General features: G+C 40.7%; 1 protein-coding gene across 4 annotated transcripts in view; it reads right to left on the bottom strand.

The window, feature by feature from the left end:
- Nucleotides 1-2,238: 2,238 nt before the first annotated feature.
- HELQ (helicase, POLQ like) overlaps nucleotides 2,239-13,257 on the bottom strand; it is a 48,538-nt gene continuing 37,519 nt past the window's right edge. For all 4 annotated transcript variants that reach the window (NM_001297755.2, NM_001297757.2, NM_133636.5 and 1 more), the window contains 3 exons: nucleotides 12,986-13,099; nucleotides 11,624-11,758; nucleotides 2,239-2,453 (listed from right to left, as the gene is read on the bottom strand). In NM_001297755.2, the coding sequence (NP_001284684.2) occupies nucleotides 2,346-2,453; nucleotides 11,624-11,758; nucleotides 12,986-13,099 (357 nt within the window). In that variant the 3' untranslated portion in view covers nucleotides 2,239-2,345. The remainder of the gene's footprint in view (nucleotides 2,454-11,623; nucleotides 11,759-12,985; nucleotides 13,100-13,257) is intronic.

Consider the following 13,257-nt stretch of genomic DNA (forward strand, 5'->3'; position numbering starts at 1 on the left):
CCGAGTAGCTGGGACTACAGGCATGTGCCACCACGCCAGGCTAATTTTTTGTATTTTTAGTAGAGACGGGGTTTTGCCATGTTGCCCAGGCTGGTCTCAAACTACTGAACTCAGGCAATCTTCCCACCTCGGCCTCCCAAATTGCTGGGATTACAGGCATGAGCCACCTTGCCCAGTCTATTACATTAAATTCTTAAACATATTTAGGTCTGTTTCTATTCCCCACTTTGTTCCTTCCCACTTATCTACTTCTCTAGAACTAAACTGTTTCAGTTTCTTTACATTTTAATATCTTTTAGGGCTAATCACCCACCATTACACGTGATACAATCTTTTATTGAGATTGACCTGGAGAAACACTGATAGAAGAGTGTGTGTGTGTGTGTGTGTGTGTGTGTGTGTGTGTGTGTGTAGATTGTCCTGAACTGCAGATACAGGTATTCAAGTTACTGTAAAGGTACCCTTCTCCCTGCCCCCTCACCTCTAATCTTAAATTAATACATTAATCTTGGATTATAAATCAGTTTTTTACAAATTGGTTAGCAAGAATCAGACCTTTGGCCTGGCACAGTGGCTCACGTCTATAATCCCACCACTTTGGGGGCCAAGACGGGCAGATCACTTGAGCCCAGGAGTTTGAGAACAGCATGGGCAACATGGCAAAATTCCTTCTCTACAAAAATTAGCTGGGCGGTGACACGCACCTGTAGTCCCAGCTACTTGGGAGGCTGAGGTGGGAAAATCACTTGAGCCCGGGAGTGAGCCTCGAACTAGGTGACAAAGCAAGACCCTAACATCTCAAAAAAAAAAAAAAAAAAAAAAAAAGAATCAGAGCTTTACTTAACTAGTAAACCTGGGGTTTCTAGACTTTAAAAAAATCCTCAAGACTGGACTATGGCCCATTGTGAATGCAACTCAGAGGCTGGTCCAAACAGCCAGCAGGCTAGCCAGCTGCTGTTTCACAATCTTTTTAGCTGCAACAAATGTAACATGTGCGGCGAAGCCCAGAATTCTACTAGGACATTAGGATGCCATACTTTGACATATGTAAGGAAATGCAGGGATGGGAGTGGGGCAAGCATGATGGAATGTAATGCTAAAGATAAAATCAAGGACAGGTGTAAGGAACACTTAGGAAGGAATAAAATGGACAAATTTACCAAGACACTATTGTATAATGATTAAGTGTGTGGATGTTACACTGGGGCTGCATGGGTCTGAATCCTCGCTCTGTGACTAACTAGTTTATGACCTTGGGAAAGTTACTTTAGTTTCTCTGTGTGTCAGTTTATTCATCTGTAAAATGAGGATAATAATAGTACCTGTCTTACAGGTACAGGTAATATAAGAATTAAATTAGTTAATTCATATAAAGCACTTACAAGAGTTCCTGGCACATAGATATTTTCTGTGTATTTACCTAGTACTCTAGGTAAATGACTAGCAGATTATAATGGCCTAAAATGTTAAGGCACAAATAACTTAGACTATGGATCTATTGCAAAGTTTCCAAAGGATGTTTCTTAGGTGGGTTAATCATTAATCAAACAAGTTCAGTACTCATAAATATTGCTAGTTAACACTTTCTTTCTTGCACTAGTGTCATCTACATTTGAGCTATGATTGTGAAAAGGGAGAGGCAATATTTAAATTGTGTTTAAAGAAAAGCTTCCAATTGTTAATTGTGGGTAGTATTCATTCTTCTCTGAGATTCCTACTTCGTGCAGTGAAGTGTGTGGGTGCTGGTCGCATACACACATGCAGGACTTGGACATCCAGATTATAAAGTAGCGGCAGCAAAAAGACCTGGGTATAAATGCGGGGTCTATGATGCTTATAGGAGGGAAAGAGCACCCAGATATGGGGTAGGGGTGAGGATGAACCTGGAATAATTTCATAGAAGAGACAGTATTTTAGCATTTTTTAGTTAATCCTTGAAGTATTAGTGCATTTTAAAGATAATTTTCATGCATTGGAAATAATATAAAGCAGTTAGGAAATGGAGGGTTTGGAAATCCTAAGAAAAATTCTGGGGATTTCAAATAGTCCAATTTGATGAAAGAAATGGGTAAGAGAATAATGAAAGATCTGGATAAAAAGGTTGAGCACAATGTTGATGAAGTTGAATTTCATTTTGTGGTGGACACTATAGTCTGTTTAGCAGAGAAATAATGTGTAAGTATTCCAAAGAATGAATTGTTAGTGGGAAGAGGTATATTCAAACATTATTCGTAGTTCTTAATGTATAACTGAAATGTATTTTTTCATTTATAAAGTATAAGTTATCTTTAATAACACACATGTACAATAAATAATTCATATATGAAAATTCTCATCAGATAGCTTCATGCTTTGTCAGTGGAAGAAGCCACAGCACCAGGGAAATCAGAAGGCAATCTTAGTAACTCTTCTACCTCTTCTTGCAGGGCTTCTGCTTTTTCATGCAACAGCATCTACATTAAAAAATTAAGACGTGAGGCCAAAATATGCATTGCTAGAGAATTGCCAACAATTTTACCACTGTCCATTGAACACCTGAATCCTTACACATCAGAAATCTAGACATTAAAACTATAATGAGATTGAAAAATGGCCACTTAAGAATAAACGATTATAGTCAATGAAGATGAGGCATTTAGTTAAAACCATTTTAGCTGATCACTGCCTTTTAGTATACCAAAAATAAAGGAGCTTTAATTCTCCCAAAGATTTGTTTTATTGAAGACTCAGCCACTTAAAAATTAACTTTTAATCTATAAAATCTAAGACAATTTTGCAAAAATTTAATTAGCTCCTGAAAAATGTTATCCTTTATATATATGCATTTTATTATTCCTCAAAATTTAGTATGCTTTAAAAAGCTACCAGTATTTCAAATAAAAGTTTTATTCAAGTTCCTAAACTTAAAACTGTTAATTTCAAAAGCAACATAATGAGCAAAAAAAGTATTTCCAAACATGGCATATGAAAGATGTCAATGAATTTTTACCAAATAATAAGCTATATAGATCAATAAGAATAATAAGTAAACTACACAAAACCCTTGTGTTAGTATTACTATAATACAGAGAATATCAAGAACCTCAAATTACTTGTTTAAAAAAGCCCACCAATTTGTGGAAGAATAAATTCCGCTCCCCCCCACCCGCCTTTTTTTCTTTTTTAGACGGAGTCTTGTTCTGTCGCCTGGCTGGAGCACGGTGGCGTGATCTCAGCTCACTGCAACCTCCGCCTCCCAGGTTCAAGTGATTCAGAAGGCCTCAGCCTTCTGAGTAGCTGGGACTACAGGCATGCACCACCACACCCAGCTAATTTTTGTATTTTTAGTAGAGATGGGGTTTCACCATGTTGGCCAGGATGGTCTCCACTGCTTGACCTCATCATCTGCCTGCCTCAGCCTCCCAAAGTGCTGGGATTACAGGTGTGAGCCACCATGCCCAGCCTCTTTTTTTTTTTTTAATTAGAAAAAATTTAAAAAGCTTTTTTTGTAGAGACTGGATCTCCCTATGTTGTCCAGGCTGTTCTCAAACTCTTGGGCTCAAACGATCCTCCTGCCTTGGCCTCCCAAAGTGCTGGGATTATAGTGTGAGCCACTACACTCAGCCAAAACCAGTTTCTTGAGCTCCCACCCAAGTGTTTGCAGAGATCCAGATGGGGTTGAGAAAAAAAAAACACATGAACAAGATAAGAGGGAAATAGAGGGTCTAAAATGAAATAAGATCACCTCCAGAGAGAAAAAGCCTACCCAAATATAAAAATACTGAAAAAAGAATGTTGGTTGATTAAAGCATTGTTTATAGGAAGATATTTAAAATGCATGTGGGACTCTAGGAGGCAGTCTTCGAAAGGCAATGCTTTTAGGGGAGAGAATGGGTGAAAAGGGAGGTGCCTTTTGGAAGCTCAGCCATGAGAGGAAGAGGAAAAAAGGACAAAATTTACAATCTTGTAGGGCAAAAGGAAATTAAACAAACAAACAAACAAACTTGCATTCCTCTCCCACCCCAAGTCATCCATTAAAGAAAAATACTTTGCTACTCTGACAGAAGAGAACACTCTTGAACTGGGATCTCATAAATCATTCCAAATGACTGTGTTGTCCAAGATATGCAGAGGCACAAGCAGTTCTCATCTATACAAAACTACTATATAAAAAGAAAACAAGGCTGGGCATGGTAGCTCATGCCTGTAATCCCAGCACTTTGAGAGGCCAAGGTGGGCAGACCATGAGGTCAGGAGATCGAGACCATCCTGGCTAACACAGTGAAACCCCATCTCTACTAAAAATACAAAAAAAAATTTAGCCAGGCAAGGTGGCCGGCGCCTGTAGTCCGAGCTACTTAGGAGGCTGAGGCAGGAGAATGGCGTGAACCTGGGAGGCGGAGCTTGCAGTGAGCCAAGATTGCACCACTGCACTCCAGCCTGGGCAAGAGAGCGATACTCTGTCTCAAAAAAAAAAAGAGAAAAGAAAACCAATAAGAACCCAAACTCTTCATCTCATAAAAATTTCCCTTCCTGAAAGCAAACCATGAAGCAGAAAAACTGTAACACAACACTCCAAACAAAATTAAATATTCTCAAATAAAAATCTGGAGATATGAGGAGGAGTAGAAATGCTCTCTAAATAAGAAGTTAAAAAACTAAGAACCGACATGGACAAAAACTGGAAGAAATGATACAAAAGTTGACTGAGCTCAGGAATGAAATAAAAGAAAAAGGCAAAATCATATTAGAAATAAAAACTAATAACTATAACTAAATAACTGGGTGTCCATAGAAAAACAGATTTAAATAAAAAACCTAATTAGGGCCACTGAAAAAATTTAAAAAGCAGGAAAACAATAAAGAGAATAAAAACGAGATAGGCCGGGCATGGTGGCTCAGACCTATAATCCCAGCACTTTGGGAGGTTGAGGCAGGAGGATTGCTTGAGGCCAGAAGTTAGAGACCAGCCTGGGCAATGCAGTGAGACCAAGCCTCTACAACAACAACAAAAAATTAGCCAGGAATGGTGGCCCATACCTATAGTCCCAGCCACTCAGGAGGCTAAGGTGGGATCACCTGAGCCTGGGAGTTCAAGGCTGCAGTGAGCTATGATGGTGCTACTGCACTCTAGCCTGGGTGACAGAGACCTAGTTCCTCCCCACTCCCCCTAAAAAAATATCTGTGAGGGAAGGAGAGGAAATAAAATGGAATACCAGTAGAATTTGTGTTTCAAATGTATAACAGCCACACTGAAGCAGATTTTTTTAAACCCCAAACCAAGTAACATTTTAACACATTATTTTAATTATATACTCTCAGACTGAAGACAAAAAGTGCTGTAAATAAATACTGAATGTTTGTTTTTTTTGGAGTGGTATAATTTAACAATTCTGCAGTTACTTTCAGTGCATTCTAAGATTGAGGAAAACAGAAATATATTAATAAACACAGGGATGAGGTTTCTCATTATTGGAGAAAGGAAGTACAAATATGAAAAAGAGGAAGACTATATAGCAAGTCCTGTATGGGATTAGTGTGGCAAATTAAAGATGATTGGAAATTCTTTGACACCTTCATTGAGAGACGGGATCTAATTCTCCTCTTGAATCTGTGCTAGCCTTTGTGATTCACTTATAACTAATAGAATGCAGAAGAAATGATGCCACATGACAGGTCTCAGTTTAAGAAAGGCCTTGGGGTCTTGAAATGAGATCATTCCAAGGTCATGTGAATCCTCCCCCTCAGATCCTAGCATCCACACTGTAAGAAAGCCAAGCTAGGATAGGCAAGGTGGCTCACACTTGTAACCCCAGCACTTTGGGAGGCCAAGGTGGGCAGATTGCTTGAGCCCAGGAGTTCGAGACCAAACCGGGCAACATGGAGAAACCCCATCTCTAAAAAAAAAAAAAAAATTACATAAATTAGCTGGGTGTGGTGGTGCATGCCTGTGGTCCCAGCTACTTGGGAGGCTGAAGTGGGAGGATCACCTGAGCTTGGGAGGCTAAGGTTGCAGTGAGGCATGATTGTGCCACTGCATTCCAGTTGGAGTGAGAGGGAGACCTTGTCTCAAAAAAAAAAAAAAAAAAAAGAAAGTCAAGCAACATAGAGATTATAAATAGACAAATAAGAAACTGCAGTGTTTTAAAAGATATTATACTAGATTGAATAAAAAGAGACAGACAATACAAAACATCAAGTGCCTTTGAACTTTTTTTTTTTTAAATTTAGAGATAGGGTCTCCCCCAGGCATGGTGGCTCACTCGTAATCCCAGCATTTTGGGAGGCTGAGGAGGGTGGATCACTTGAGCTCAGGAGTTGGAGACCAGCCTGGGCAGCATGGTGAAAAATAAATTTAAAAAGGTAATTTAGTTAGGCATAGTGGTGCCCGCCTGTGGTCGCAGTTACTTGGGAGGCTGAAGTAGGAGGATTGCTTGAGCCTGGGAGGTTAAGGCTGCAGCAAGCCAAGATCATGCTACTGCACTCCAGCCTGGGTGACAGAGTCAGACCCTGTCTCAAAATAAATAAATAAATAAATAAAATTAATTAATTTAATTAAATTAAAAATAAAATAGAGATAAGGTCTCGCTTTGTTGCCCAGGTTGGAGTGCAGTGGCATGATCATAGCTGATTGCAGCCTTCATCTCCCAGGCTCAAATGATCCTCCCATTGCAGCCTCATGAGTACCACAGGCACACATCACCATGCCTGGCTAATTAAAAAAAAAAATTTCTTTTGTAGGAACAGGGTCTTGCTATGTTGCCCAGGCTGACCTCAAACTCCTGGCCTTAAGTGATTCTCCCACTCTGGTCTCTCAAAGTGCTGGGATTACAGGTGTGAGCCACTACACCTGAGCCTGAACTCTTGAACTTCAATATTCTTGAACTACATATAGGAAGCACATTGAGAAAGCTACCTAGCAGCAAACATGGGTTTATTGCTTATGGAAAAGGGAGAATGACTCAAATGAGAGAACCCAAAGCCAAGAAAAACCATTCCCAGAGAGAAGAACTGGGACATAATTAAGGAACTGGCCACATATGACTGGCTGGATTTCAGAACTGCTGCTGTGCACTACCCATTTTCCTTCTTTATGAATGAGAGTATACTATGGTTATCCTATTTCTAGTTTCACTGTTTTATGTAGTGTCTCTTTAGTTCACTGGTCTTCAGATTAAGAAGAACTGTAACTTGTGAAACTGTACTGAAGGTGTATCACTCACACTCGGACTTGATTTAGAATACTGGATCTGAGTCTGATGCTGTGATATTATGATAGACATATATTGGTCTTCATCCACGGTTCCTGGCTCATAACTCCCACAGCCCTTCTTACAATGATGGGGCACTTTAGACCTCAGAAAACAGAATTTCTCTCTCTGACCTTCTTCTGCCCTCCTTTTGCCTGCCTAAGGCAGAACTCTAATCTGATCATTGGGTCTTAAAACCCTCATTCCAGGCTGGGTGCAGTGGCTCATGTTGTAATCCCAACACTTTGGGAAGCCAAGATGGAAGGATTGCTTGAGGCCCGGAGTTCAAGACCAGCCTGGGCAACATAGCAAAACCTTGTCTCTATTAAAAATTAAAAACATTAGCCAGGCGTGGCACCTGTCTCTATTCCTAGCTACTCATGAGGCTGAGATGGGAGAACTGCTTGAGCCTGGGAGGGGAAGGCTGCAGTGATCTATGATTGTGCCATTGCACTCCAGCCTGGGCAACAGAGCAAGACCCTGTCTCCAAAAACAAGTAAAAAGACCCTCATCCCAGAGTGTCCTGCCCCATACTCTGAAGAAAGGAATGCTGCACAGAGAGGCCAGAAGAATCTGAACAGACGGGTCTTGCTGGGTTTCCCCACTCAATCTGTTAGTATTATTAATAAATCATACCCTTTCTGTCCAGTCACATTTCTACATGATTGTCAATCATGCCAACCCAATAAAGTTTCCATAAGAGGTCTAAGAGTACAGGATTCACAGAGCTTCCAGACAGCTGAACACATGGAGGGTGCTGTGCCCAGGGAGGGCATGAAAGCTCTGTGCCACTTCCCCCATACCTTGACCTATGAATCTCTTCATCTGTATCTTTGTGATATCCTTTATTATACGCATGTTTTCCTGAGTTTCGTGAGCTGACTGAACCCAGAGAAGAGGTTGAGGGAACCCCAACTTGAATTGGTAAGAAGTTTTAGAAGCCCAGACTCCAGCTAGATAGTGTCAGGACACCCAGCTGATGTCTGCTACAGAAATGATTGCTTGTTTTTTTGGGGAGAAATCCCTCACATTTGGTCACAGAAATCTTCTGTCTGTGTTGTGTTTGTTGAGTGTTGAGTGGGGGAACAACAACAACAAAAAAGACTTTGAGTTTTTCCTAATAGAAACTATAATGGAAAAGCCTTTTGGGGGTTAATATATTTTGCATGTGGGAGGAACAGAAACAATTTGTGACCAGAGGGCAGATTTTAAAGATGACCACAAATTATTTGACACTCTTCTCATGAAGAGGTGGTCTGATCCCCTTTCCTTTCAATCTAGGTCTTAACGGTTTTCTAGTAACCAACAGTATGCAGCGGAAATGACACTGTATAACTTCTGAGGTTGGCTCAGAAGACTTCTTGCATTTTCTGCCTGGATATCTTAAAATGCTCATTTTCTGGACATTCCCTCTCAAAACCTAGTTTCTATGCCATAAAGACTGAAGCCACATGGAAAGGCCATATGTAGTTGCTCCAGTCAAAAGCTGAAAAGCCCCAGTTGCCTCCAATTATCAGCTGTTGGTCATGTGAGTGAGTCACCTGGGTCATCCAGCTCTGCTGGGCCTTATGACTATAGCTCCAGTCAACTTCTGACTACAGTTGCCTGAGACCCAAGTGAGAAGCACCCAGCTGCACCCCTCCAGAATTCCTAATCTACAAAAACATGAGCAAAATAAGATGGCTGTTTTAAGCCACTAAATTTTGGAGTTAGACTCTGTTATGTAGCGTATGTACGTGGAAAAATCAGAATTAGGGTTATCAGTATGAGCTCATGGCCTTCAGTAATTTACACATAAGTATAGAAAAATACATAGACATACATCAGCTAGGGTGGTCCTAGCTAGTGCCCTAGTTCCATGGGCCCTAGAGCTGACTTCTGGGCAAGTTCAACAGTACATTGTAGGCAGCTTCCTTGCAGTTTTGTCAGCACTCCGTGGGCAGTTTCTGCTTATTAGCCTTGGCTGTAGCACCACAACAAACTTCCCAGCATCCAGTGGCAATGAAGTCCGGATCCCATCCACAGGGGTGCTGTGGGGTGGGGGTGGACCGTCTCTCAAATGTATTCCTTCCTGAATTCTTTAAAGTTCTGTTGACCCCTTAGACGCCTGTTCAAATTACTGTGTGGTTTCTGCCTCCTAATGATTAGATGCTGACAGACACAGCCAGAAAGTAAGAAAATACTTCAAGAATGATGATGACAGGTCAAAAAGCCACACAAACCAGTTTTCAGGGGCTTCCACTGGCCAAATCTGAGGCCATTTGAGCACCAAAATAAGTAATGTTATTAATGGGTTATAACCCATTGAATATGTTTGAACCTATGAGCACATACTGATAAATGAATAAATAAAGGAAAAGCTTTTCCTCACAGTAAAACATCAGTAAATAAATCCAGAAGGGATAATGAAGTTAGAAAATCACCTCTTGATAAGCATCATGGAAATAATGGAGTTAGGCAAACATCACTAGTAAATGCTGAAACAAGTGTGTGAAAGTTTAATGAACCTTTTTTTTTTAGGTGCTATAGCAAAGGAAATGACTATAACTTCATCCCTACCAACCCCAAGAACTCCTAATTTAACGGGACAAGGTCAATCTTAGTGGTTTCATCTATAAATTGGGGGTAACACTGACTTTGTCCACCTCATAGGTTTGTTGTAAAGAACAATTAAGGTAATGTAAGCAATGTGAGCACCATTAAAAAATGATGGAAAGCTAATTCTGATTTATATATGAAAATAGTAAAACAATGAAGCTTCAAAGAAGCCAAGCAATTTCAGACTTAGAACCACAGTTGAGATCAAGAAGGAAACAATCTCAAATTGCTGTGGAATGGCTTTACCCACAGGGAGCAGAAGGCAATGGCAAACTGGGTTGCATCTAGCAAAGGGTAACTAGGACAGTGAATGGCCTAAAACTTGATTATTTAATACAGATAAAAGCAACAGAAAAGAGAAACCCTTGGGGGCAATAAGAGCTGTTTTTGAATATGTGAAAAACAGCATACAAACAAAAAAAGAGTCCAGTTCCAGAGGTAGTACTCTGATGCAATGGTAGAAATTTTAAGAAGGCAAAATTTAGCCTCAGTATATCAGGATAATTTTTGTAACACTAAGAGTGTACAAAAATAGACAACCTAATTTTTGATGATGCAGGCTCCTTGTCAGTGCTGGTGCTCAAAGGTGGAGAGACCAGATGCTGGGATGCTGAGGAAAGGATTCCTGTGAAGAGAACTTTGGGAGACAGAGCTCAGTGACTTCCAGGGTTCTTTATACTTCAATGAACCCTTGAAATTGTCTTTTTTTTTTTTTTAAGACAGACTCTCACTCTGTCACCCAGGTTGGAGTGCAGTGGCATAATCTTGGCTCACTACAACCTCCACCTCCTGGGTTCAAGTGATTCTCATGCCTCAGCTTCCTGAGTAGCTGGGATTACAGGTGTGGGCCTACAGGTGTGGGCCACCACGCCTGGCTAATTTTTATACTTTTAGTAGAGACAGGGTTTTACCATGTTGGCCAGGCTGGTCTCAAATTCCTGGCTTCAAGTGATCCACCTGCCTTGGCCTCCCAAAGTGCTGGGATTATAGGTGTGAGCCACCGAACCCAGCCATTTTTTTTTTTTTTTTTGAGACAGAATCTCGCTCTGTCAGCCAGGCTGGAGTGCAGTGGTATGATCTCGGCTCACTGCCATCTCCGTCTCCTGGGCTCAAGCAATTCTCCTGCCTCAGCCTCCCGAGTAGCTGGGATTATAGGCGTGTGCCACCAAGTCTGGCTAAATTTTTGTATTTTTAGTGGAGATGGGGTTTCACCATGTTGGCCAGGCTGGTCTCGAACTCCTGACCTCAGGTAATCCACCTGCCTCGGCCTCCCAAAGTGCTGGGATTACAGGCATGAGGCACCATGCCTGGCATTTTTTTTGGGGCGGGGGGACAGGGTCTCAATCTGTCATCCTAGCTCAGTGCAGCCTTGAACTCCTGGGCTCAAGCGATCCTCTTGCCTCAGTCTCCGGAGTAGCTAGAACTACAGCACAAACCACCACACCCAGTTAGTTTTTAAATTTTTTTGCAGAAACAGAGTCTCATTATGTTGCCCAGGCTGGTCTCAAACTCCTGATTTCAAGCCATCCTCCCCATCTTGACCTTCCAAAGAGCTGGGATTACAGGCATGAGCCACCACTGAAATTTTCTTTATTTTTTAGCAGGTCCTTTTTTTGTTTTGCAAGGCTTGTGTCACAACAGATGCATTATTTTTACTCACAAATAAGAGTATGTACTTTTGTATCTATAGAAATAAACAGTTATGCAATGTGAAATGTTTTTGTTCTGATGTCTATAATACAAGGAAATAACACTACGCAAGATTATTAAGGTTAAAAAATGGTTTGTTTGCTTACCTTTGCTGATGAAACAATTTGCTTGGCTTGGCGTCTTGATAAATGATCAATTGTCCTTACGAGCACTTCAGGATTTGCATTAGCTAAGTGCATTAGACTTTTGTAACCTGCACTGTATAACTGTTTTGCTCGACCCTGAAAAGTGTTACAAAAATCAGTAGGATAATAGTTTGGGATTAGAAAAAAGAAAATTAAGCACTTTACTGAAAAGAACAAAAACTGCATGTAAGAGACTGGGATAAAATAAAGTAAATATGAAGAGACAAGACATGAGAATACTGAGGAATTTTTAAAAATGCATTTGGGTGGTTCCAAACTGACTACAAGGTAACTATAGTTCTATGCAGCTTGAGTCAACTGATGTGTGCTGCAATCAAGAAAAGAAACCCACTTAGGTTGGTGGCATCATCTCATATCCTCAAGTAAAATGTTCTAGTCCAGTATCTTTCTTTCTTTCTTCTTTTTCTTTTCTTTTCTTTTTTTTTTTTTTGAGAAAGAGTCTTGCTCTGTTGCCCAGGCTGGAGTGCAATGGTGCGATCTTGGCTTATGGCAACCTGCACCACTCACGTTCACAAAATTTTCTTGCCTCAGCCTCCCAAGTAGCTGGGATTACAGGCGCACGACACCATACTTGGCTAATTTTTGTATTTTTAGTAAAGATGGGGTTTCACCATGTGGGCCAGGTTGGTTTTGAACTCCTGACCTCAATTGATCCACCCACCTTGGCCTCCCAAAGTGCTGTGATTGCAGCATGAGCCACATCATCAGGCCAAGTCCAATATCTTTCAGTGTTCTCACCATCTACTCAGGGGACCACTGGTGTCTCTCTCTGTGTGTGTGCGTGTGTCCTAAGCAGAACTCCTCTGACTCAAGAACTGAATAACAGAGAATAAACTGAAGTTGAGGGTTGGCTGAAAATAGAAAGCTGGAAAACCAGTTGCGAACCCTTTCTTCTTACTCTCTTAGAAAAAATACAAATGACCCTTTCTGCCACTGAATCACCATTATCTTAAACAAGCACTGAGTCCAAACTGACAGAAGGTAATTCTTCAAAGGAGTGGAGGAAGGAAGAAGTGTTAAGGACAACCGGTAGCACAACATACTTGGAGACAGTCACTCCCACCCTTCCTGTTATGTTTTTTTTTTCACAACTGAGATTTTTCATCAGGTATGCCATCTAGTAACAGCGGATTTCTGGAAGGCCATAACAGCTATTTGTTTTAAATAAAAGATTCCCATGACAAATGAGCAATTAAGGCTCTTGCTATCACTTCCTCTGTATTAAGACTTCAGAAAATAATAAAACCTGGCTTCTGTATTAATTCAACATAATTTCAATTGGGAAACCAACAAGCTACTGACCTCTAAAACTCCAGTAACTTCCATGAGAGGGATTAATTCTGCCTTTACACAGTAAGTCAGCTTCTTGGTAAGTTCTACCAAAAGGGCTCTGTAAACCCAAAACTCCTCAAGCTCCTGTAGAACACAAAGAAATATATAAAATTTAAATTTTGTAAGTTATTTCAAAGTTTGGTTTGTGTGATAGGGGGCTCAGAGAGAATGTTCCTTACATAAGTTCTGGAACTTGAGTTAAGCCAGAGATGAAAGATGATTCTAAGCAAAACAGATGTGAA

This window comes from Homo sapiens, chromosome 4 (assembly GCF_000001405.40).
Source record: "Homo sapiens chromosome 4, GRCh38.p14 Primary Assembly".
In the NCBI taxonomy this organism is placed as follows: domain Eukaryota; kingdom Metazoa; phylum Chordata; class Mammalia; order Primates; family Hominidae; genus Homo; species Homo sapiens.